The sequence below is a fragment of the Homo sapiens genome, chromosome 10 (assembly GCF_000001405.40).
Source record: "Homo sapiens chromosome 10, GRCh38.p14 Primary Assembly".
Taxonomy (NCBI): Eukaryota; Metazoa; Chordata; class Mammalia; order Primates; family Hominidae; genus Homo; species Homo sapiens.
In genome coordinates this window covers 96,126,887-96,149,008 of record NC_000010.11, presented here as the reverse complement: position 1 = coordinate 96,149,008, position 22,122 = coordinate 96,126,887, and the positions used below count along the sequence as shown (strand labels likewise).

General features: G+C 38.6%; 1 protein-coding gene and 1 long non-coding RNA gene across 53 annotated transcripts in view, besides 4 other annotated features; one reads left to right on the top strand and one right to left on the bottom strand.

The window, feature by feature from the left end:
- The window catches only part of ZNF518A (zinc finger protein 518A), a 75,577-nt gene extending 56,283 nt beyond the window's left edge, over positions 1–19,294 (bottom strand). For 7 of the 52 annotated variants that reach the window (NR_138482.1, XM_011540413.4, XM_047426063.1 and 4 more), the window contains exons 1-3: positions 19,017–19,294; positions 16,339–16,423; positions 15,361–15,426 (exon numbers count right to left, since the gene is read on the bottom strand). The gene's annotated coding sequence lies outside the window, so the exon portion shown is untranslated. Of the gene's footprint in view, positions 1–12,128; positions 12,183–13,719; positions 13,840–15,360; positions 15,454–16,338; positions 16,424–18,186; positions 18,730–18,890; positions 18,954–19,016 lie in introns of those variants that run through there. The other 45 variants (XM_047426046.1, XM_047426062.1, XM_047426052.1 and 42 more) reach the window with 14 other exon arrangements.
- On the top strand, positions 220–19,954 carry LOC124902486 (uncharacterized). Its single transcript, XR_007062254.1, has 2 exons — positions 220–12,594; positions 12,655–19,954. It is a non-coding gene; the product is annotated as an uncharacterized LOC124902486 (long non-coding RNA).
- Positions 17,948–18,851: an enhancer, noted in NCBI's record as "NANOG-H3K27ac-H3K4me1 hESC enhancer chr10:97889915-97890818 (GRCh37/hg19 assembly coordinates)". NCBI's record gives its function as "activates a minimal SCP1, AML or CMV promoter by ChIP-STARR-seq in primed H9 embryonic stem cells {active_cell/tissue: H9 hESC(primed)}" and the evidence as "EXISTENCE:reporter gene assay evidence [ECO:0000049][PMID:30033119]".
- Positions 17,948–19,756: a biological region, named in NCBI's record as "NANOG-H3K27ac-H3K4me1 hESC enhancers GRCh37_chr10:97889010-97889914 and GRCh37_chr10:97889915-97890818".
- Positions 18,660–19,299: an enhancer, noted in NCBI's record as "active region_3817". NCBI's record gives its function as "activates an Ori minimal core promoter by ATAC-STARR-seq in GM12878 lymphoblastoid cells {active_cell/tissue: GM12878}" and the evidence as "EXISTENCE:reporter gene assay evidence [ECO:0000049][PMID:35858748]".
- Positions 18,852–19,756: an enhancer, noted in NCBI's record as "NANOG-H3K27ac-H3K4me1 hESC enhancer chr10:97889010-97889914 (GRCh37/hg19 assembly coordinates)". NCBI's record gives its function as "activates a minimal SCP1, AML or CMV promoter by ChIP-STARR-seq in naive H9 embryonic stem cells {active_cell/tissue: H9 hESC(naive)}" and the evidence as "EXISTENCE:reporter gene assay evidence [ECO:0000049][PMID:30033119]".

The following is a 22,122-nucleotide window of genomic DNA, read 5'->3' as shown; positions in this document are numbered from 1 at the left end:
GCACGGTGGCTCACGCCTGTAATCCCAGCACTCTGGGAGGCCGAGGCGGGCAGATCACCAGGTCAGGAGATCAAGACCATCCTGGCTAACATGGTGAAACCCCGTCTTTACTAAAAATACAAAAAATTAGCCGGGTGTGGTGGTGGGCGCCTGTAGTCCCAGCTACTCGGGAGGCTGAGGCAGGAGAATGGTGTGAACCTGGGAGGCAGAGCTTGCAGTGAGCCGAGACCATGCCACTGCACTCCAGCCTGGGCGACAGGGCGAGACTCCGTCTCAAAAAAAATTCTGGAGCTTCACTAGTTGGAGAAGCACTGGGCCAGATTCTGGTGCCTGGCCCAGCCCAAAGAGCTCCCCACAGTGGGAGTCAAAACCTTGTGTTACAAGCCCTTCTGTGGGTTCAGACAGGGGCTTTCCATGAGCTTCTGAGACACAAGCAGACAGGCCAGAGGATTACTGGACAGTCTGAGAAAACCCTCTAATATTAGTTCAAGATCCAGACCAATTAAATCAAAAAAAGTAATTTGTTAGAAACTGAGACTATGTACTAAGACAAAACATTTTTTTTTTTGAGACAGAGTTCCACTCTTGTTGCCCAGGCTGGAGTGCAATGGCACGATCTCAGCTCACCACAACCTCCACCTCCCAGGTTCAAGCGATTCTCCTGCCTCAGCCTCCCTAGTAGCTGGGATTATAGGCATGTGCCACCACACCAGGCTAATTTTGTATTTTTAGTAGAGACATGGTTTCTCCGTGTTGGTCAGGCTGGTTATCGAACTCCCAACCTCAGGTGATCCACCCACCTCGGCCTCCCAAAGTGCTGGGATTACAGGCGTGAGCCACCGCGCCCGGCCAAGACAAAACATTTAAAACTCATTGATTTCTAGGGATATAAGAAATAAGAACAGGATGCCACAAAAAGGGAACATCAAAAGAACAAAAAGAACTCTAAGAAATAAGAAAACATAACCAAAAAGGGGCAACAGAAGGGCTATAAGGTAAAGGTGAAATAACCTCTCAGAAAAAAACAAAACACAGAGATGAAAAATAGGAGAAACAAGGTAAGAAAGAAGAGCAATCTAGGAGGTCTAACATTTGACTAACAGGAGGGCAGGAAGAGAGTACAAAGGGGAAGGAAATCATCAATAAAATAACTTTTTAAAGTACTGAGCTGTAGGAAATCAGTTTCCAGGATGATAATGTCCACCAAGTGCTCAGTGTAAGGTACGCAGGCATATCATTGCAAAGATTCCTAACAGTAGAGACAAAATCCAGTTTCTAAATAGAAACAAAAAAGGTCAGAAAACAAAGGATTAGAAATCAAATGACTTTAGATTTCTCAGCAACAGTAACAGATGGACAAAGACAAAGGGGCAATACCTTCGAATTCTGGCATAAAGCTTTCAACCGAGAATTCTACATTTTGCCAAGGGTCTAGGTATAAGGGTAAAATGAAGACATGCAAAATCTCAAAATTTACCTGCCAGACATCCTTCCCCAAGTTGTTACTATAAGATATACTCCAGCAAAATGAAAGAATAAACAGAGAGAGAGAAAGACATGACATAATATGCATTGGGAGATCAAATGGAGGAGAGAGAAGTAAATAATATCCCCAAGATGACAGTAAAGGGAAATACCAGGATAACAAACAGTTGGACCACAGATCACATGCTCCTGTCAGTCCAAAGACAAGACATCTTTGACATCAAAAGACACACTGAGGACTTCCATCACCAAAAACGTCACTGACACTGTACCGTCTTTTCAACCATTGGACAGAATCCCCAGGTAAGCCTGGCCCAGATTCTCATCTGTATTTGGCTTGTATTGACATAAACTCATGATGTTCCTGCTTTTCCCTCCATACCTTTATATCCAGATCAACTGCATGGTGAGCTTAGAAACCAAAATTACAGAGTAGCCTCTCTCAGACATCCACTATCTGGTCTATACTCTGAGCCTGCCAGATTCTCTGCTTACAGTGGGCCCTAAGGTTGCTAGGATTCACTCATGATTTACCTAGACTTCCCCAAAAGTGGCTCTGATAAACTCCAGAGAAGCTAAAACCAGACTATGATCCAGGTATGCTGTTACCTTAACTTCTCCTGGGAGCCTTCATCTACTAGTGGCACTGTTACCTTTTCACTGTATAGCCAGATTTAGGCTTGCTACCAAATTTTCAAAACTAAACAATTTGGTGTTTATAGTCACCAAAATACCAAAAGTCAGAATGGTAGTTTCATATTTGTTAGGAGCAGAGAGGAGGATATGACCAGAGAGAACACAATGAGGGTAGAGGAAAGGAGCTTCTGTTTCTTAAATAGTTGGTATGCAGATATTTGTTTTATCTTTAAACCACATACATAGTGTGCATTTTGTCCATAAACACATTTCATAATAAAAATAAAAACAAGTTACAAACTAGGCAAAAGACCCAAAGAAGAAAGTCACAGAGGAATATAAGTGAAAACATGCCCAACTTCACTAGAATTCAAAACAAATAAAAACAAGAAAACTTCTGCTAATCAGATTGCAAAAGATGTTACATATTTCTAATACCTAGTGTTGGTCAGTGAGGAAAAAAAGGCACAGTAATATACTAATGATGGAGATAAAAGCTGGCATGACCTTTATAAAGAACAGTTTGCAATACATACATAAAGAGTCTGGAGAAAAGGCATACAACTTCTGATTCACTTCTAGAAATGCATCCTAAAGCTAATAATCAGAAATATTATTTGTGCCATCGTTTATAAAATCACAAAATTAAAAATAAGTGTCCACCAATAAATGATGATTAAATCAATTACAGTATTGTAAGGGAATATTATGCAATTTAAAAACCAATACTGTAAACTCACATTTATTAACACAATGATATCTAACATACCTTAAGTGAAAAAAAAATAAACAGTAGACATATAGAGTTTAATTTGTTCAAATACTGATAGATGGATAGAAAATGGATAAACAAATGCGTCAAAAGTTAAAAGTCAAGAAGAATACACATACAAAAATGTTCCTAGTGATCACTGGTTACTCTTAGGTCAGTGTTTCATAAAATGCTGTCTTAGATCACCATGGCCTCCACACTGGCATACTACCTTATGATAGCACAAGCAAACACCTTACATTTGGACTTTGTGAGAACAGCAATCTTTTTGTCTCTAGACTGCAATTTTATGAAACTTTATGAAAAAGTGGCATGATGCAAATTCTCAAACAAAGCAAGTGATTTCTGTGGTAAACCAACTGAGTTTTTCTTAAACTCAAAATAATATACTTGCTGCCAGTATAAAACAGATCAATGTTGACACTAAAGGTGAAGAAGAGATCAAAACAATACAGGTATCATTCAATTCTGTGTTCTCCATATCAACACACACGTACCCAGTCATACCACTGCAGAGAACACTTTAACACAAGCGTCAAAGTTAATGGTAAACACTCAAGAGAATGATGAATTATGTTACTGAATTTCATTCATGCTATATAAATTCATGCTATAAGAGAAGTGTTTTTAGTCGGTTTATTTAACAATTAATTTGTGAGGAATGAGGCTACCTAAAAAGTAATGGGAATTAATACAACCAGAATAGCAGTTATGTATGCAGTGTTGTTACATAAATAAAAAGATGCGACCAGGAGCGGTGGCTCACGCCTTTAATCCCAACACTTTGGGAGGCCAAGGTGGGAGGATCACCTGAGGTCAGGAGTTCAAGACCAGCCTGACCAACATGGTGAAACCCCATCTCTACTAAAAATACAAAAATCAGCCGGGTGTGGTAGCGCATGTCTGTAATCCCAGCTACTCGGGAGGCTGAGGCAGGAAAATCGCTTGAACCCAGGAGGTGGAGGTTGCAGTAAGCTGAGATTACGCCACTGCACTCCAGCCTGGGCGACAGAGCGAGACTCCATCTTAACAACAACAACAACAACAACAAAACATACATGTATTTTATACGAAAACAAATGGTATTCAACTAATATGTTTCCTGATCTTGATACTGTTAAAAGAAATACTAAAAATTGTAACACCAACCTAATTTTGCCTATATATTTATTTCTATATGCTATACAAAGAAATGAATAGCAACTATAATGTTGAACAATTTTTGCAATATGCAGCATATTATTCTTTAATAAAGTGCTGAATTTCATCTGACAAAGTGTTATTTAGAATTTTTTTTTTTTGCTATCTGTAACAGTTTTGGTAGTGGTATTACAGAGGATTTGTAAAATGGATTGGAGTACTTACCACTATTTCATCTGCTCTGAAATAGTTCACTAACCAAACTACTGACAACAGTTTAATTTTTGTTCTTTCCTTAAAATTATACAGACTGCACCAAGAACACCATATGGACCTAGTAACACTTCAGATTTTTAGACCTTACAACCTTTGCAAGTTCTTCTATGATTTCTGGGCTCTTTAGATTTTCTACTGCTTGAGTCACTTTGGTAATTTATATTTTCCTTGAAAATACTCAATTTTGTTTACTCACAAAAACCTCACTTTTAAGAATATCCTCCCCCTCAACCAAAAAAGCATAACATATAAATATGGATATATCAGTATCACTTAAATGCCCAGAATAGGAAAATTATAAAATTACGGAACATCCACATGAAATTATACAGAAAGAAGTATGTGTACTGAATTGACTTGGAACAGTATTTATTCCAAGCAATTTTTTTTTTAATTTTTAAAAAGGAAGTTGTAGGCTGGGCATGGTGACTCATGCCTATAATCCTAGCACTTTGGGAAGCCAAGGTGGGTGGATGGCTTGAGCTGAGGAGTTCAAGACCAGCCTAGAAAACATGGCGAAACCCCATTTCTACAAAAAATACAAAAATTAGCTGAGCATGGTGGCATGCACCTGTAGTCCCAGCTACTCGGGAGGCTGAGATGGAAGCATTGCTTGAGCTTGGGAGGTCAAGGCTGCAGTGAGCCGTGATCATGCTACTGCACTCCAGCCTAGGTGACACAGCGAGACCTGTCTAAAAAAACAACAACAAAGGAAGCTGCAGACTGAGGCACAGAATACATTTTTAAATTAGGAGAAATGATCCTTGTTTTCATGCTAAGAGGAAAGATCTTATAAGCATATGTGCGTATAAGCACAGATCTGCAGAAGGATATCCTCCAAACTACTGACAATAGTTTAATTTTTTTAAAAGAAATGACAGCATGGTATAGCAAAAAACAAACCAGAAAACCAAATCAATAGGAGAAAAATCATCAGCTCTCCTAAGAACCCTGACTGAAACCAAGAGGGCAATGTCACCACCACAAGCCTTTATGAGGTCTGCCTATATATTCCTACTCTTGAATTCCAGGAAATCCTGTATCCTTAAAATAATCCCCCCTTTCAACATAAGCTAGCTCACATTGGTTTCTACTGCTTGTAATCAAAGGCTTCTTACATACTACAGAAAGTTGACAAATCAACGATGACTGTGTTTACTTCACAGAAAGGTAGGTTTTGTGAGGACCCTTTAAAGAGTAGCAGGACTTAAAACATGTAAGAAAGAAGCAAAGGCAATCTAAACCACAAGAACAGAATAAAGAAACAATGGAAGAAAAGTATTTTTCTCCTAAGGTACCACAGGGTCTAGATGAAAAAGAGAATGCATGATGGGGAGGTTAAGTGAGAACAGACTATAGAGGACAGATCTGAACTGGAAATGAAAGGTAAACAGAAGCAATTGTTAATTTAAGAACAGAAAAAAGTTATAAAAGCAGTACATTAGAAATATTAGAAGGGTACTAGACAGCAAGATAAACTGGAGAAAGAGTAAAAATAGAAATGAGGAAATTAAGCAACTAGAGTGACAATCCAAATAAAAAGTGAGGAGCCAAGGAACTGGTAATGTTAACATACATAGGTCAGAAATCACGGCTGGGAGCGGTGGCTCATGCTTGTAATCCCAACACTTTGCGAGGCCAAAGCGGGCGGATCACCTGAGGTTAGGAGTTCAAGAACAGCCTGGCCAACATGGCGAAACCCCATCTGTACTAAAAATACAAAAAGTTAGCCGGGCATGGTTGCGGGTGCCTGTAATCCCAGCTACTCAGGAGGCTGAGACATGAGAATCACTTGAACCCGGGTGGCAGAGGTTGGCAGTGAGCCGGGATCACGCCACTGTACTTCAGCTTGGGCGACACAGCGAGACTCTGTCGCAATAAAAAAAAAAAAAAAGAAATCACACATTGGGTCCGGAAAGATTTTTAAAAGATAATTCCCAAAGTAAAATGCCAAAGATAAGGAAGATTTGAAGAGTTCATCAAAAGGCAACATTCCTAGACAGTTATATTTGCTTTCTAAAATAATTAAAAGTCAAAGGCATTCTACAGAGTCTAAAAAGGAAGAATCTATCTGCTACTTAACTATATTCAAGTTGCTTAAACACCAAAAAAAAACTAAAAACTCTAGTTTTAGCTTAGCTATATTCATGACTCAGCATGTAGCTCTCTAAGTTGTCTCATCACATAAAAAACTACTGCATTCCTTAAGTCATTCAATCCTTCTTCTGCAGATACAGGCAAAACAGTCATATGAATGAATATATGAGTGGTGATCAAACCAAAGCAGCATGTAACAGTAAAAGCTTACTGAAAAATATAAGGTTCTGCTAAAAGGAATCTAGAAACACACACACACACACACACACACACACACACACACACACACACACACACCCTAAGAATATTACTTTCAAAGCAGAATCTATTTTAGTGCCCTCAAAATAACTATTATCTATTCATGACTTGAAACAAACATTTTGGGCTTACTTTTTTTTGCAGCTGTTTTAAGTTTTCAAAAAGTTTACCTGAGAGACTAAAGCCTATCACATTTTAAGAGTGCAAGAAATGGTTGTATACAGTTTACATATGTAACCAAAGCCAGCTCCTTCCAAATCACTGTGGTCTAATGAACAACTTAAGCATAGAAAAAGAAATGTAGGCTGGGCATGGTGGCTCAGGCCTATAATCCCAGCACTTTGGGAGGCAGAGGCAGGAGAACTGCTTGAGTCCAGGAGTTCAAGACCAGCCTGAGTAATATAGTGAGACCTCATCTCTACAAAAGTATTTTAAAAATTAGGCAAGTGTGGTGGCATGTGCCTGTATTCTCAGGCACTCAGGAGGCTGAGGTGGGAGGATCCCTTAAACCTGGGTGGCAGAGGTTGCAGCAAGCCAAGCACCACTGCACTCCAGACCAACAGAGCTAGACCCTGTCTCAAAAAAAAAAAAAAAAATGAAGAAGAAAAAAAGAAATGTAGGGTTAAATATGCAAAAGTAATTAAATATGCAAAAGTAATTAAATACAGATCTAGAAATGTTCAAAATTCTAGTGTATCTGTGAGTCACATACCATTCTGGTATGCAATTGATATTGGTATACAATTATAAAGGAGTTTAAAATTAAAAATTAAAATACAGAAGCAGTTCTTGGTTCAGGTAAACCTTATTCTTTATTACTCCCTGAAACTATGACTTCTCACTGTGCCCAATATAAAAGATGCTTACCCACACATACACCTTTATTTACCTTTGTTCTGTTCATATAGTTTTCGGTCACCAGGCATGGCATCTCCTTCCTTCTATCTAAATTCAACACTATTCAAACTTCCTTTCAAATTCTGCTTCTTATAGGGACATGTAACCTTTTACAATACACACTAAATCTCTCCTTTCTCTGAGTATCCACTTAAAGAATAGCCAGTGCTCACCATTTATTACAAATTGCTTTATACTATTACATAATTTCATTATTTTTTACCTCCCCAGATAATTTATAAGCTTCCTAAATGCAAGTTTTACTTACTATTTCTCATTTTTCCCTCACAAAAACCAGAAGGCTGGGTACACAAGTGCCTAACCCATATATTTTTAAGCTATTCATTCTCTCATTTTCAAATCAAATATATGACTATGATTTTAGATTAAATCACTTTCTAGCAAACTTCAAAGAGCATGTAAACTTTTTTGCTGCAATAATTTGGAACTTGGTTTAAAACACAGAGTCAGAAATCACTCCCACAACCCCCCATCTTTTTTTTTGAGACAGGGTCTTACTCTGTCTCCCAGGCTGAAGTGCTGCAATGGCACAATTACGGCTCATTACAGCCTCGCCCTTCTGGGCTCAATTGATTCTCCCACCTCAATTTCCCAAGTAGCTGGGACTATAGGTATGCACCACCATGCCCAGCTAATTTTTCCAATTCTTTTTTTTTTTTTAAGAGATGGGGTTTCACCATGTTGCCCAGGTTGGTCTTGACCTCCTGGTCTCAAGCAATTTGCCTACCTCAGCCTCCCAAAGTGCTGAGACTACAGACATAAGCCACCACACCCTGGCAGAAATCACCTTTTTAATAGGTAGGAATTGGGAGAAAAATCTGAACTAATTTGTCCAAAGTGACATAAGAGCCATTGAATTCAGTATAGAAAAGGAATTATTTTCATCTTTTGCTCTTTTCTTTTTCTGTTTGTCATTTTGCTGCGACAGTGATTTAGAATAGGCAGATTTTGATTTGGAATACATGAGGGGAGGGAAGAAAATCAAAAGATGTACTGCTATTTGCTGGGAGAACATGTTATCATGTGATCCATTCTTACTCAGCTTCAGAAAATAATATAAATGGTTTAATTTTTCTCTAGGTCTACACAGCACCTGCCTCCATGATTAGAAGTTACACTCCCTGGATGTCCCCATCTTACTATATGGCACTAAAATTCATACAGTTCCACAACCCAGAAATCAAGACTCATCCTTGATTCCTCCATCCCTTACTCCCCACATTAATCCATAAGCAAGCCTGGTCAATTCCATCTCAAAACCAGATCTTGGGCCGGGCGAGGTGGCTCACACCTGTAATCCTAGCACTCTGCGAGGCTGAGGCAGGTGGATCACCTGAGGTCGGGAGTTTGAGACCAGCCTGACCAACATAGAGAAACCCCGCCACTACTAAAAACACAAAATTAGCCAGATATGGTGGTGCATGCCTGTAATCCCGGCTACTCAGGAGGCTGAGGCAGGAGAATCACTTGAACCCGGGAGGTGGAGGTTGCAGTCAGCCGAGATCACACCATTGCACTCCAGCCTGGGCAACAAAAGCAAAACTCCGTCTCGAAAAAATAAAAACAAAAACAAAACCAACAGATCTTGTATTTCCCTTCCTCTCTTCCTATCCACTGTCATCATCTTAGTCCAGGCCACCATCATTTCTAACATGAATGAAAACATCCTCCTAACTGGCATCCATGCTTCCACCTTGTCCACCACCCTCCTCTGAGTCCATCCTCCACACAGGAGCAAATGTTCTTCTTAAAATAAAACATATCACAAAGCTCCCCTGCTTAAAGCTCCTTGGTGGTTTCCCAAGTGTCCTACTCTGTTCTGGCTGCTGTAACAGAGTACCATAGACTTATTTCTCACAATTCTGAAGCCTAGGAAGTCTAAGATCAAGGCACTGGCGATTTGGTGTCTGGGGAGGGCCTACTTCCTGGTTCACAGGTGGCCATCTTCTCACTGTGTCCTCACATGACAAAATAGAGCCCTCTGGGGTCTCTTTTATAAGGGTACTAATTCCATTCATAAGGACTCTGCCCTTATGACCTAATCACCTCTTAAAAAGGCCCCACTTCCAAATGCCATCACACTGGAGAATAGGTTTCAATGTATCAATTTGAGTATGGGGAAGGGGGACATAAACATTCAGCCTATAGCAACAAGGCACTTAAAATAAAATTTAATCTCTTTACAAAGGCCTGCAAGAAACAGCGGTATCTGGTCTTGGGTCTTTTTCTTCAACTTCATCTCACACCACTCTCCCCATTGTACATATACTCCAACAAGCTGCCACAGATTCTCAGCTCCTCAAATATTCTTCCTATCCATCCTATCTCAGGCCTTTGCACCTGCTGTTCCCTACTTGAAATGTGCTTTCTTCCATTCTTCAAAAGGCTACATCCTTCTCATCTTTTAGGTCTCAGCTCAAATGCCACCACCTCAGAAGGGCCCTTCCCTATAAACCATCCCTTCCTCAAAAAAAAAAAAAAAAAAAAAATTCGCCACTTTATCCTTTTCTATTTCTTTTTTTGTAACACTTAATATCTCTGGCAATATTTTATTTATTTGCCCATTTATTTTCTATCTGTCTCTACCACCGGAATATAAGTTGCGTAAGGGTGAGAACTACATCTGTAATGTCCTTTACTACATCACCAGCATGTGGGATGCTGCCAGACTTGTAGCTAGCACCACATCTACGTTCTAAGCATTGGGAATATGGCAGTAAACCAAACAGACAAAAATCCCTCCCCTCACGGAGGTAACATTTTACTGATTATTTAGGTAATAAACAAAGTAAGTAAATTATAAAGTATATTCAAAGGCAACAATTGCTACAGAGAAAAATAAAGCAAAGACAGAAAGGCAGAATCAGAGTGTTGTAATTTTACATATTAAGTCAGGGAGCCCTCGACTTGAAAAGGTCTTATTGGAGTCAGTATCTTAAAGAGCTGAGGAAGCCAACAATCCAAGAAAACAAAAGTTAGTGACATGACCCTGAGTGTGCAATGTGCCTAACACATTTGGGGAACAGCAAGAAAATCAGTATGACCACAACAGAAAGCATTAGAGGGAAAGCTAGAAGATGAGGTCAGAGAAGTAACAAGGGGACAGAAACAGGCCCTGATAGAAACTGTAAAGGCTTTGGTTTTATTCTGAATCAGAGAGGAAGCTACTGGAGCATTGTGGGCAGAGAATTACCATGAGTCGAATTACTTCTATCACTTGGGCTGCTATGCTAAGAACAGAGTATTCAGGAGGGATTAAGAGTAAAGACAAAGACTACACAGTACAATTATCCAAGTAAGAGTTGATGGTGGTTTGGCTGAGACAATGAGGCATGGTCAGATTGAATATATTTTGAAGCTAGCACCTACAAGATATCCTGATATGCTTTCTCTGAAAGAAAGAGACATGTCAAGGATAACTCTAGAAGTTCTGACAGCATTGGAAAGAACTGAGTTGCTATTCACCGAGATATAAAAGATTGTTAAAGTAATAGGAAAGTTTATCAAAAGTTCCATTTTAGGCATGTAATATCTGAGATGTCTATTTGACATCCAAGAGGAAATGTGGACTGTGTGGCTGGATATAGAATACAGAGGGCTAGGTGGATGATGAAATTTGGGGAGTTATCGGTGTGTGTATATGTACATATGTACTTTCAAGTACTTGGAGCAGGATGAAATCACCAGGGGGAATAAACAAAAAGAGCAGTCCAAGGCCTGAGCCTCAAGATTCTATAACACATCCAACAGAAAGAGATTAAAAAGAACCAGCAAGTGAGACAGAAAAGAAATGACCAATAAGAGTTAAGGTAAATCAAGAATGTGGTATCCTCAAAGCAAAATGAAGAAAATGTTTACTGGATAAGGGATTGAACAACTCTGTCAAGTAAGAAGATGACTAACTAGACTTAATGTGAAGATCACTGGTACCATGGATTAGAACAGTTTCAGTGGAGTTTTAGAGGAGAAAGGCTGACAAGCTTGGATGTAAGGCAAAATGGGAAGAGAGGAAGTAGTGATGCAGTGCAGACAACTCTTTCAAGGAGTTTTAAGATAAAGGAGTTGTTTTGTTTTGTTTCAATTTATTTTTTGTTTTTTAAAGGTGGGAGGAATTACAGTATGACTGCACGCTTATTAAAATGATCTAGTAAAAATAAAAAAATTGATGATAAAGGATAGGAAAGAAATGCAGCAGTGAAGTCCTTCAGGTTAGAACGGACGGAATCTAGTGAACGAGCTGAAGAGGTGAACTTAGAAAGGAGCAAACATGATCCATCTATAGTAACTAGAGGGGAGGATAAATAAAGATGCTAGCAGGTGCGCAGATGTGACTGAGAGAGTTTGTGGAATGAAATGACGGCCTGCAGGCCAAATCTGGCCTGCTGCCTGTTTTTGTAAATTAAGTTTCACTGGAATACAGCCACACTCACTCATTTACATATTGCCTATGGCTTCTTTTGTGTTACAATAGTTGCACCAGAAACCATATGGCCCACAAAGCCTAAAATATTTACTATCTGGCCATTTACAGCAAAAGCTTGCCAACCTTGGTATAATGGAATAATCCAACTGCTACTCTCTGAGGGTCAGATGCGAGGCTCTGAGGAAAGAAGGTAGGCAAGGACATAGGAAACTACAGCATTTAATGAGACAATGACACAACAATAAATTCTACATCATTCCTAGTTCTGGAGCCCAAAATGAACGTTCTATGAGCAATCAATCATCACTTTAAGTCTGTTCCTTATCTTTAAAAACATTTTTTTTTAAATAGAGATGGGGTCTCACTATGTTGCCCTGGCTAGTCTTGAACTCCTGGGCTCAAGCGATCCTCCCAGCTCAGCTGCTCAATGTGCTGGGACTACAGGCATAAGCCAGCTCATTAAAAAGCCACATTAAAACGCCTTTAAATGTTTTTACATCTATTGCTACATTCGTTTCAAACTGGCTTTCTCACTAAGGAATAGGGTATGGCTTTGACTATTACTAAGAGATCTCTCAAAAAGGGAAAGGTAAGAAGAAATAAATAAATATATATAACATTTCTTCTTACCTTTCCCTTTTTGAGAAAGGTTATATATACATATTTATAAATCGGCATTCCAAGTTAATTGCTATTTTTAAAAAATCTTCAAGACAGATGAATAAAACAAAGGTTTTTGCCAAAATGAGTAATTTTACAGTATTTCATCACATTTAATTCACATTTTAGCATACAAAAATGAAATTATATGAAAAGAAATATACACATTTTTTCAAAGAAATCTCCATCTTAGTAGAAAGGGCCAAAATTTCTGCTTGGCTTTCCAAATGCCTCATACATAGATTTACCTAAAACAGTCACCTTATTTTCCACTACCTCATTTCCAAAGAACACATACTGTTACAGTGAAACCAATCTCCACTCCAACCTGGATCAGCCTATAATCATTTTTAACTCCATCCTTTTTTCAGTTATTCTCTGTGCCTATCAAAGCCACATTCATAAGCAGAAATACATTTAAAGTTGTATATTCTTCAGGAAATCTTCCTAAATGGGCCAACCTGCTCACTTCCTTCCCATCAAAATTCACTTAAAATACAACTGTGCATTCATTTATCTGTTTTTTCTGTTGTGTTTGCTGTATATTAATATGAATTCCTAACTAGAAGCACTTCCAAGACAAGGAATTCTTCTTGTTCTTACATTATTACTTAGATGCCAAGCACCACAGTCATTATTCTCAACACACGCTTATTAATCTGTGCACCAGAAATAAATAAAAATATGCTATATATCCACCATCCACTCAGTCTAGTACATATAATCTTGCCTATCCAGGCAGTTGCACATACTTGTACATAGTGGACACTCAAAAAAATGTTTGTAGGTTGAGTGAAAGTAGATTGAATGCATGCACAAATGATGAATAAATAAAGGGAACTCTTTATAAGGTATAGGAAAGTGGGGAACTACAGAAGGATGTGAATGATCAATCTGAAACTTTAGACCTTAAATTCATAAGGGCCATATATTCATCAGAACACTTTCTGCTGCAATCCAATTCAAACCAATTTACACAAAAAATTTTGGCACAAGGACTGAGAAGGACACCAGGATAGTTCACAAAATCAAAAGAAAAGTAGGTACCACTTACCATGTTCCCTGAGATTGAAACTGGCACTACCACCATCCATCTCCCATCTCCTTATGGCTTCACTTTCTCCCACTACACAGATGCGCTTTTCATACACGTGGTAAAGAATGCCACCAGCACCTTCCCAGATTAACAATTTCAGAGAAAAGGTAGTATCTTTGTCCTAGCATTCAACCATAAATTTCAAAAAAAGGATTCTGACTGGCTCTGCATGAGTAACAGCAATCACTGTTGCAATAGGGATGACCAAGCTCAGGTTATAAGACAGTAAGACTGACGGACAGCCCACCAACCACTCAGAATAGGGGAGGGGTGGTTCTCTAATGAAGAGATACTGAGTTGACAAAAACAATATATGACATGTCTTTTACCAGCCACAACCTTCAACAAACCAATATTAATCAGGAATTGACGATAAGCTTACTACATTTTGAAATTATCTGACTTTCCTCATGAAATGAGACCTATGTGAAGCCCACTTAATTTTCTGAAACTTCACATCATGTACCTTCATTCTAATATTCTGACACTTGTTTCATGCAGCCATACCAGTCACAACTTTAAATTTTTAGTCAGACTTTGCTCACAAGTTTTCAAGATAAATTAATACAAATCGTTTTGGTCAGTCATCACACAGCAGTCTCCTATTTACTTCACTACAACTACAGCTTTCATTCTTCATTACATTACTTTTTCTGAGTAGTCTGGGTCAAATAGTACAAACTGAATATTCCTTAACCAAAATGCTTGGAAGTAGGCCGGGAGCAGTGGCTCACCCCTGTAATCCCAGCACTTTGGGAGGCCAAAGCAGACAGATCACTCAAGGTCAGGAGTTCTAGACCAGCCTGGCCAACATGGCGAAGCCTCGTCTCCACTAAAAATAAAAAAAAAATTAGCCAGCCATGGTGGCATGCGCCTATAGTCCCAGCTACTCGGGAGGCTGAGGCAGAAGAATTGCTTGCACCTGGGAGGCAGAGGTTGTAGTGAGCCGAGATCGCGCCACTGCACTCCAGCCTGGGTGGCAGAGTGAGACTCCGTCTCAAAAAAACAAAACAAAACAAAACAAAAAAGCTTGGAACCAGAAGTGTTTCAGATTTCAGATTTTTGTGGATTTTGGAATATTTGCATTACTTACTGGCTGAATATCCAAAATCCAAAATGTTCCAGTGATGATTGCCTTTGAGCTTCATGTCAGCACTCAAAAAGTTTCAGATTTTGGAGTATTTTAGATTTCAGGCTTTTAGATTTGGGATGCTCAACCTTTAGGAAAATTCTTAGCATTCAGAATTACTTTATCTCTTCAGGAATAACACAGTACCCATGTGAATCTCGTGGTAGGAAGTCAAACAAATATTATATAGGAAAAAGTTACTTAATGACATAAACGATAACGTGGTACCTCAACTCAGCTCTACTGCTCTCTACTCAATGTACATTATTTTCTGACAAAATAAAAATTCATGCCTTTGTAAAAAAATGGCCCTGAACAGAAATCCATTTGCTGGTGAAGTTCAGGGAAGAACACGGTTATTATGATAATTAAAGCAATACTGTAAGGTGGTATAGTCTATGTCAGCTATTTCAGCAGTTACATAAATAATCTTATTCCTAATTTACGGTCATACTTATGTGTATACTTACTGCATTTAGAGGAATTTTATGATACTGTGGTATCCAAGAATCTTAGCATTTCAAAGATCCCAGGACCTATCCAACACAAAGAGTAGGAGACATCTGTGTTTTGAGGGTAGAAAAAACATGTTTTTTTACATGGGTACAATATTTTCCACTACATTTCCAAAGCTTTCCTTATAATACCATAGATTTGTTGGCATATTTTTCCTCCTTTTTTGTCTACACCCAGACATTCACATGACTGTCTTCAAGAAACCAATCATAACACTATAGTGATTCCCAAGTCCCTTTCCTGATTCATAATGAAGATGCTATTAGTCATAATATAAACACATATCAGATAATTTTTCTTTAGGTACATTGCTTTGCACTTACTAGACCAAAACCACAATCTTCTGGCCATTCATATAGCTTTGAAACATCTATCTACCACCTTTATCTCCACTGTTCATTACCCAGAAGACTTTAATGCCACTTTTCTATTCAGAAGGATGATAGTTAAAGTTATATTTGGATTTCTAATAAAATGTTAAGTAATAAACTATGAAACCAAAAATTACTTTTTTTGCTTAGATTAAAATGAAAACTCATGTTTAAGTATTTTATTTTAGCCAAAAAATAAAATAAAACTATAACTTATATAACTTATGAAAACTCATGTATATGTAAAACTACAGGTTGAGTGTCTCTTATTTGAAATGCTTGGGAACAGAAGGGTTTCATTCTTTTTTTCTTTTTCTTTTTTAGGATTTTAGAGTATTTGCATTATACCAGTTGAGCATCTCAAATCCAAAAATTCAAAATCCAAAATGTTCCAAAGAGCATTTCCTTTGACCATCATGTCAGCACTCAAAAAATTTTGCATTCTGGATTTTTGGATTTGGGATACTTAACCTATATTTTACTTTATTTAGTCCAATATTAAAACATACCAACTTACTACTTAATAGACTATATACTCCAGTATTTCAATCTTTACCATACCTCTTTCTTCAGGAACAAAAGGCACACAATTTAACACTTGCACAATGTCACAATCAGGAACAGTGATCAAAAGAAGAGATGATATCTGGAAATGAAGACCAAGATTTTAAAACTTTTGACGACAAAAACTGTTCAATTACACTTCACATTCAACTTAGGTGTATAAAGAAATGTAAAAAAAAAAAAAAAAAACTAAGAAAAAACTTCTATACACTTAAGCATACATCATTGATGACCAGTGATAACATGTCACAAATTTGCAAAAGTCACAACCTAAAGCTTAGAATCAATCTAACTCAGTATCTTCATTTATTACAAGAAAAAGAAAATGAGCCTTGCCCAAAGTCACAAAACTAGAAATAATATCTGGATCCGGTTCCAATTCAGTTATCCTACCACCACAATACTAACCCTTAATACTCATTTCTGGTATCTAATATGCCATGAAAACTGCTCACCATGAGAAGCCAATACCCCATATAGAACTGAAATACTCACAGCCTACACACCTGGGACCAGATAATAAATAAAAATTTCAAGACGGTGTTAAAACCTTTTTGTTCTGCTAATAGCACTTTGCCACAAAACCTTCAGTAGCATACCTGAAGGAATGTGGGCAAGATTCAAGTCTCCTATCATTTAAAGAAAAAAAAAAAAAGTAGTATTAAGTGCTCTAAAGTATGCAATGTCACAATGCCTCAATGAGAACAATTCTAAACAACTATAAACAGAAAAGTAAACAACAAAAATACACTTAAAGGGCATTTAAAGCATATCCTGAAGTCAAATTATAGATCTAGGCTAAAGTATAGTCCCTCTGTAATATTTCAAAATATAGAAACTTCTGGGATTACAGCATACTATTACCAGAGAGACTAGAACAGAATCCGAAGTGTGACCATGGCAAAAAATTGAAGCATTTAAAAGTTCATACATTATCAATGCACACAGTGGGTGTTCATTGTGGTTACTGTCTTTTGTCCTTCCATAAAACCAGATATAAAACGTTTTATTTGGTAATTATACTTATTTTCACGCAACAAACAGGAAACATTTGGTTGTGTAACATACCTACATTTTATTCTCCCCTTTTGTTGGCAATTTTCTGTATCTAGGGATGATCTAATTTACAGTTTCTATGGCAAAAATCAACATCGTTTACTATGCTTACCTTCCCCAGGAAATCCCAACACCCTCAAAGTGTTAACAGAACGCAATGTCTCTTTATAAATTTCAGAAAAGACAATTTTGCTGAAAGATAGTGAATGCATTTCTATAAATTTGCAGTTAAACTCAAAAAATGTTAGGAAATTTCACTGAATCAATTTAAATGTTTTAAATTAAACCTGAGGATATCAACCTTAGAGTACACTCAAATCAGACCCCTTGCTGCAGAAAAAGCAATTCAACAATTACCAGTAACTAGATCTAACATGCACACTTTCAAGTTAATAGAATTCCTATCCTGACAGTTTGGTGTCTTCATGTTTTATCACTGCGACAACTGTACAAATTCCAACATTCTTATGAATTCCTTGAACATTGACTTATTTTATTTTTCTAGGGTTTTTTAGACGTTTGACAACATACTCAACAATGTTTGCACTAAAACAGCTCACATACACTACTTGCTCTCAAATTTAAACCTAAAAAGAAAACTGAGTCTTAACTGTTGTATTCTGAACTTTAAAGCTACATCTGTTTGATCGGTCCACTTAAGAGTTAAAACATTTTTCCTTATATACATTTCGCTCTATGTACTTTTCAATTACCACAGCCACCTAGGAAGAGACTGTCTACTTGACAAAGAGGACACCATGTAACGAATAGAGTCAAAATGAACCCTACATGTGAGAAAGCCAGTTACAAAGAAATCCAACTGCCACTGGGTGTGGTTAGGGTCTGCGGGGAAGAGCACCTTTGGCCAACTCTGGAGAAGAGCGAGCGCGTCAGGGAGCAGGGCATCTCTGCAAGAAATGGCCCCCAATGACCATACGCTGGGCCAGCAATAGGGACGCCGTCGAGTCGGGCCTGCGAACCTATAGCTCGAGGGGTGCGGTCTGCGGGGCGCCCTTGCTGTCTCCACCAACCACGAAACCCGCCGAGTGAGTGCTTCGAGCGCCGCGCGCCCAGCTTCGCCCCAAACACCGCGCCCGATCCGCCCCTTCCTCCGGGGTTCGGCTGCCCCGCGGGGAGCGCGGAGGCACACCGTCTCCTACTCCCACCCAGCTCCTAGAATGTAGGAGAGTGTAGAGTTCAAAAAGCCCGGAAGTAAAACAACCCCAGGTTAAGAAAGTAAGGGTAAGCTCTAGCAGTCGGCAAAAGCGCTCGGCAAAAAAACCCCGACTTCTCCAGAAAAACTTTGCGGCAAGTTAAGCGGAAGCGCTGAATGGCCGGGACTATTTAACTCGCGCTTCCTCTCACAAGAGGCGGATCCCTGGACCTGTTTGGGGGACCCTGACGGTCCACAAACTCGCCGTTTGCCTGCTGGGTGGCCCTCTAGAAGTTCTGACATCCTAAAAGGTCTGGGCAGTCCCGCTGACGGGGAATACCTGTCGTAGTACCCATTGCCTGCGAGTCCCTGATGGCGGCCATTACACTTCCATCCGGGTATTGCCGAAAAGCTGATCGCAGCGCTACCGGGAGCGCACGCTGCGGCGGAGGGATCTGCGCTTTACCTGAGACAAGCGGAAGAGAACGGAGGCCGGCAGGGTCCGCGCTCGGTCTGACGAGACTAGGCCATGGAGCTGGGTTCGCCGCTGACCTCTCCATCTAGCGCGCGGCCCCGGCGCCCACCAGTCCAGTGACCCACTACTACCTCTTTGCTCACCAGCAGCTGCTGATCTTACTGCCGGTGAAATGGCAGACAAACGTCTACTCTGTGCTCTTCAGAGTAGACACCAGGAGCAGGAACTGTATGCACTTCCCAAGCCCTTGCTGACTGGGAATGGTCTCCACCCTGAGATTTTAACCAGTTCCGGTTTAGCAAATGGCGCCTCCCCACCTCTGGCTTCTGGCACGCAGGTTTTAGCAACCATTGTAGCCCACGTCAACGAAAGAAGCTGCCGCCAGTAGTTCTAGAAGACATACTGAACTCCAAACCTGTATATATTGAATAATTGATCAAAAACTATCTTCACAATGAGGGAGGCTCACATCTCCCTCAAACGAATACTTCCTCTACCTGACAACAGGGCTGGACAGTTAATATGGTTGGCTTTACCCCAAAGGCCAGTGTGGCTCCTCTTCTGTTCTTTATAAATCCAACCTACTAATTGATACCTCACTTTCTACATAATTCTACATAAATTATCTTCCTTTTAAAATGTGGGGAGGGAATAAGTGGCGGCAAACGTTTAAGCAACAACAAAAAACCTTGGCGCAGAAGGATATACCAATAAATTGAAAGTGAAACTATGATCAGATTTTTCATTTTTTAATGTTCCGTGTTTTCTTAAGTAGCATGTATGACATTTATAATTTTTAAAAATTTTTTAAAATATGTGTATGATACATATTTTTCATTGTCTTAGGGCAGGCTTTTGAAAATGTCAGCCTGTAGCCAAATGCAAGATTTTCTCCATCCTTTAATAAAAAGCACACTGAGAAATCCTCACTTTGTCTTTAGGAAGCCTTCTTTATTATTGTGTTTACTGGGCTACACAATTCCACCTAGAAAAGGCGAATGAGCGGAAATTCACATTAGTCATATTTATGCTTGTGTAAAACACACAAGGAGAAATCTTCTGTAAATACCAAAGGGGATGCCATTATGGAATGAAGAACATGTTTACAAAGTGGATTTTATTCCGCATCGTACATCACCCATCTCTCTTCAGGTCCTCATTTCTGTGCAAGCCAGACATGCACACACATCACAGCAGAAAGAGAGAGAACGAGATTTTTCTTTTAATAACAAAAAACGATGTTAGTTTGGAAAAATGGACAGAGTTTTTTGTTCTGTGTTTTGATGTAGTTTTTGTTTTTTCGATTAAGATATTGCATCCCCCCCCACAGTATTCACATTATAACTTTATTTTTACTTCTACATATACATTCACCTACAAAACCTTGCAAACCTGCATTTATGTTATAGAAGAATTGGAGAAAGTTAAAATAAATTAAAATATTAGTCAGACTTACCTTATCTCTTCCCCTTTCTCTTCCACCATTCATATCACCTCTTCCACCATTCATATCACCTTTTTTTTCTTGCTAACCTCTATGTTCAAAACCTGAAAGGTTTCTCTTGATCTCCTTTCAGGTTTTGAACATATTGGTTAGCAAGAAAAAAAAAAGTGGAAGTGGGGTGGTGAGGGAGGAGAGGAGAGAGGAGAGTGAATCAAGAAGGAAGGGAAGATGATTAAAAGGGAGAAAAAGATACAAAGGGGAGAAGGCTAAATCATAGCTTAGGAAAGGATTCTGGAATACTTTTTTACTTGAGAAGGATAGTTATGGGGATAGGACATCTAGATTAATGCTTTAAATAGTTGATCCCTCTGAAGACCTTACTACTGCTTACTAGCTGACAGCATTTAACCTCTGAGCTTCTCAGAGCTGTGCAACATATAACTAACACGTTATATATTGTTTGATAGACTGAAGAGAGTACTCAACGCCATTGCACCAAGAGTGTAATGGAAATGATAAAAGTGATGATGGTGGTGATAGTAATGAAGTTTCCATCTTGATTGCAAACCTCTTTCTGCTTTTCAATATACAACTGATGCCAGGTGCAGTGGCTTGTGCCTATAATCCCAGCGATTCAGGAGGCTGAGGTGGAAGGATTAAAAAAAATATGCGTACGATTCATGGACTCTGTGTCATAAAGCAGCTCACTTTAAGACAGTGAAATTTTCTCCTAAAAATAATATATAAATGGAAATTCATTTCTCTCTAAGGATTCTCACCTGTAAATCATACTTAAATCAAACTTATATTTGTTCTTACAACAATGTAAACATACTTTTAAGACACAGATAAGTTGGTACATCATAAGCACTATGATAATAAAAGATTAAATGATATTAATTTGGATAGTAAGAGTCTCTAAAAATGTCTCTCTTCTTTTTGCTGATCTATGAACTCAAGCCCAGGTTCTCTACCCCCAACAATATAATCAAGTGCAATCAGAATTGGGAAAAAAAAAAAAAAAAAGAGATATGAAGAGCCTGGGTGATACAGCATAAAGTGGTTACACATCCTGGTCAAAGATACGGCTTAATTACTTGTGGCAATCTATCATACAAGTGTTAGTTGATCTTTAAGTATTATTCTTCTCAATGTTCTTTTCAATTTTGTTGTTTAATATTTATTCAGCAGACATTTTCTTGAATACCTATTATGTGCCAGAAACTGCTAGCAATAAATAAGACATGATTCCTCATGGAGGGCCATCAGTTCAATGGAATTTTCTTGAATATTTGAAAGATTTTATGATCCAACAAAGCAATTCTAAAGATGAGATTTCAGACACTGTAACACAGGATGAGAAAGATTTTTCTTTAGGTTGGCATCCCTGACAGTTCCCTCTCAATTCACACTTCTTAGATGACCAAGACATTTTTATTAAGTTTTAATGAAAGATATAGTCCCTCTTTCTTAGTTCTTTTCATGGATACTATATTCAAACAGAAAGAACATTAAAATGAACTGTATAAACTATATTGGTCTTACCTAAGTATTTTAGGGTACCTCTCCCCACCCCTAATCACATCAAATTCTTCCTAAGACTGTCTGCATCCTGAGCGTAATGTAATAGATAGCACAGTTAATTCAAGTCCT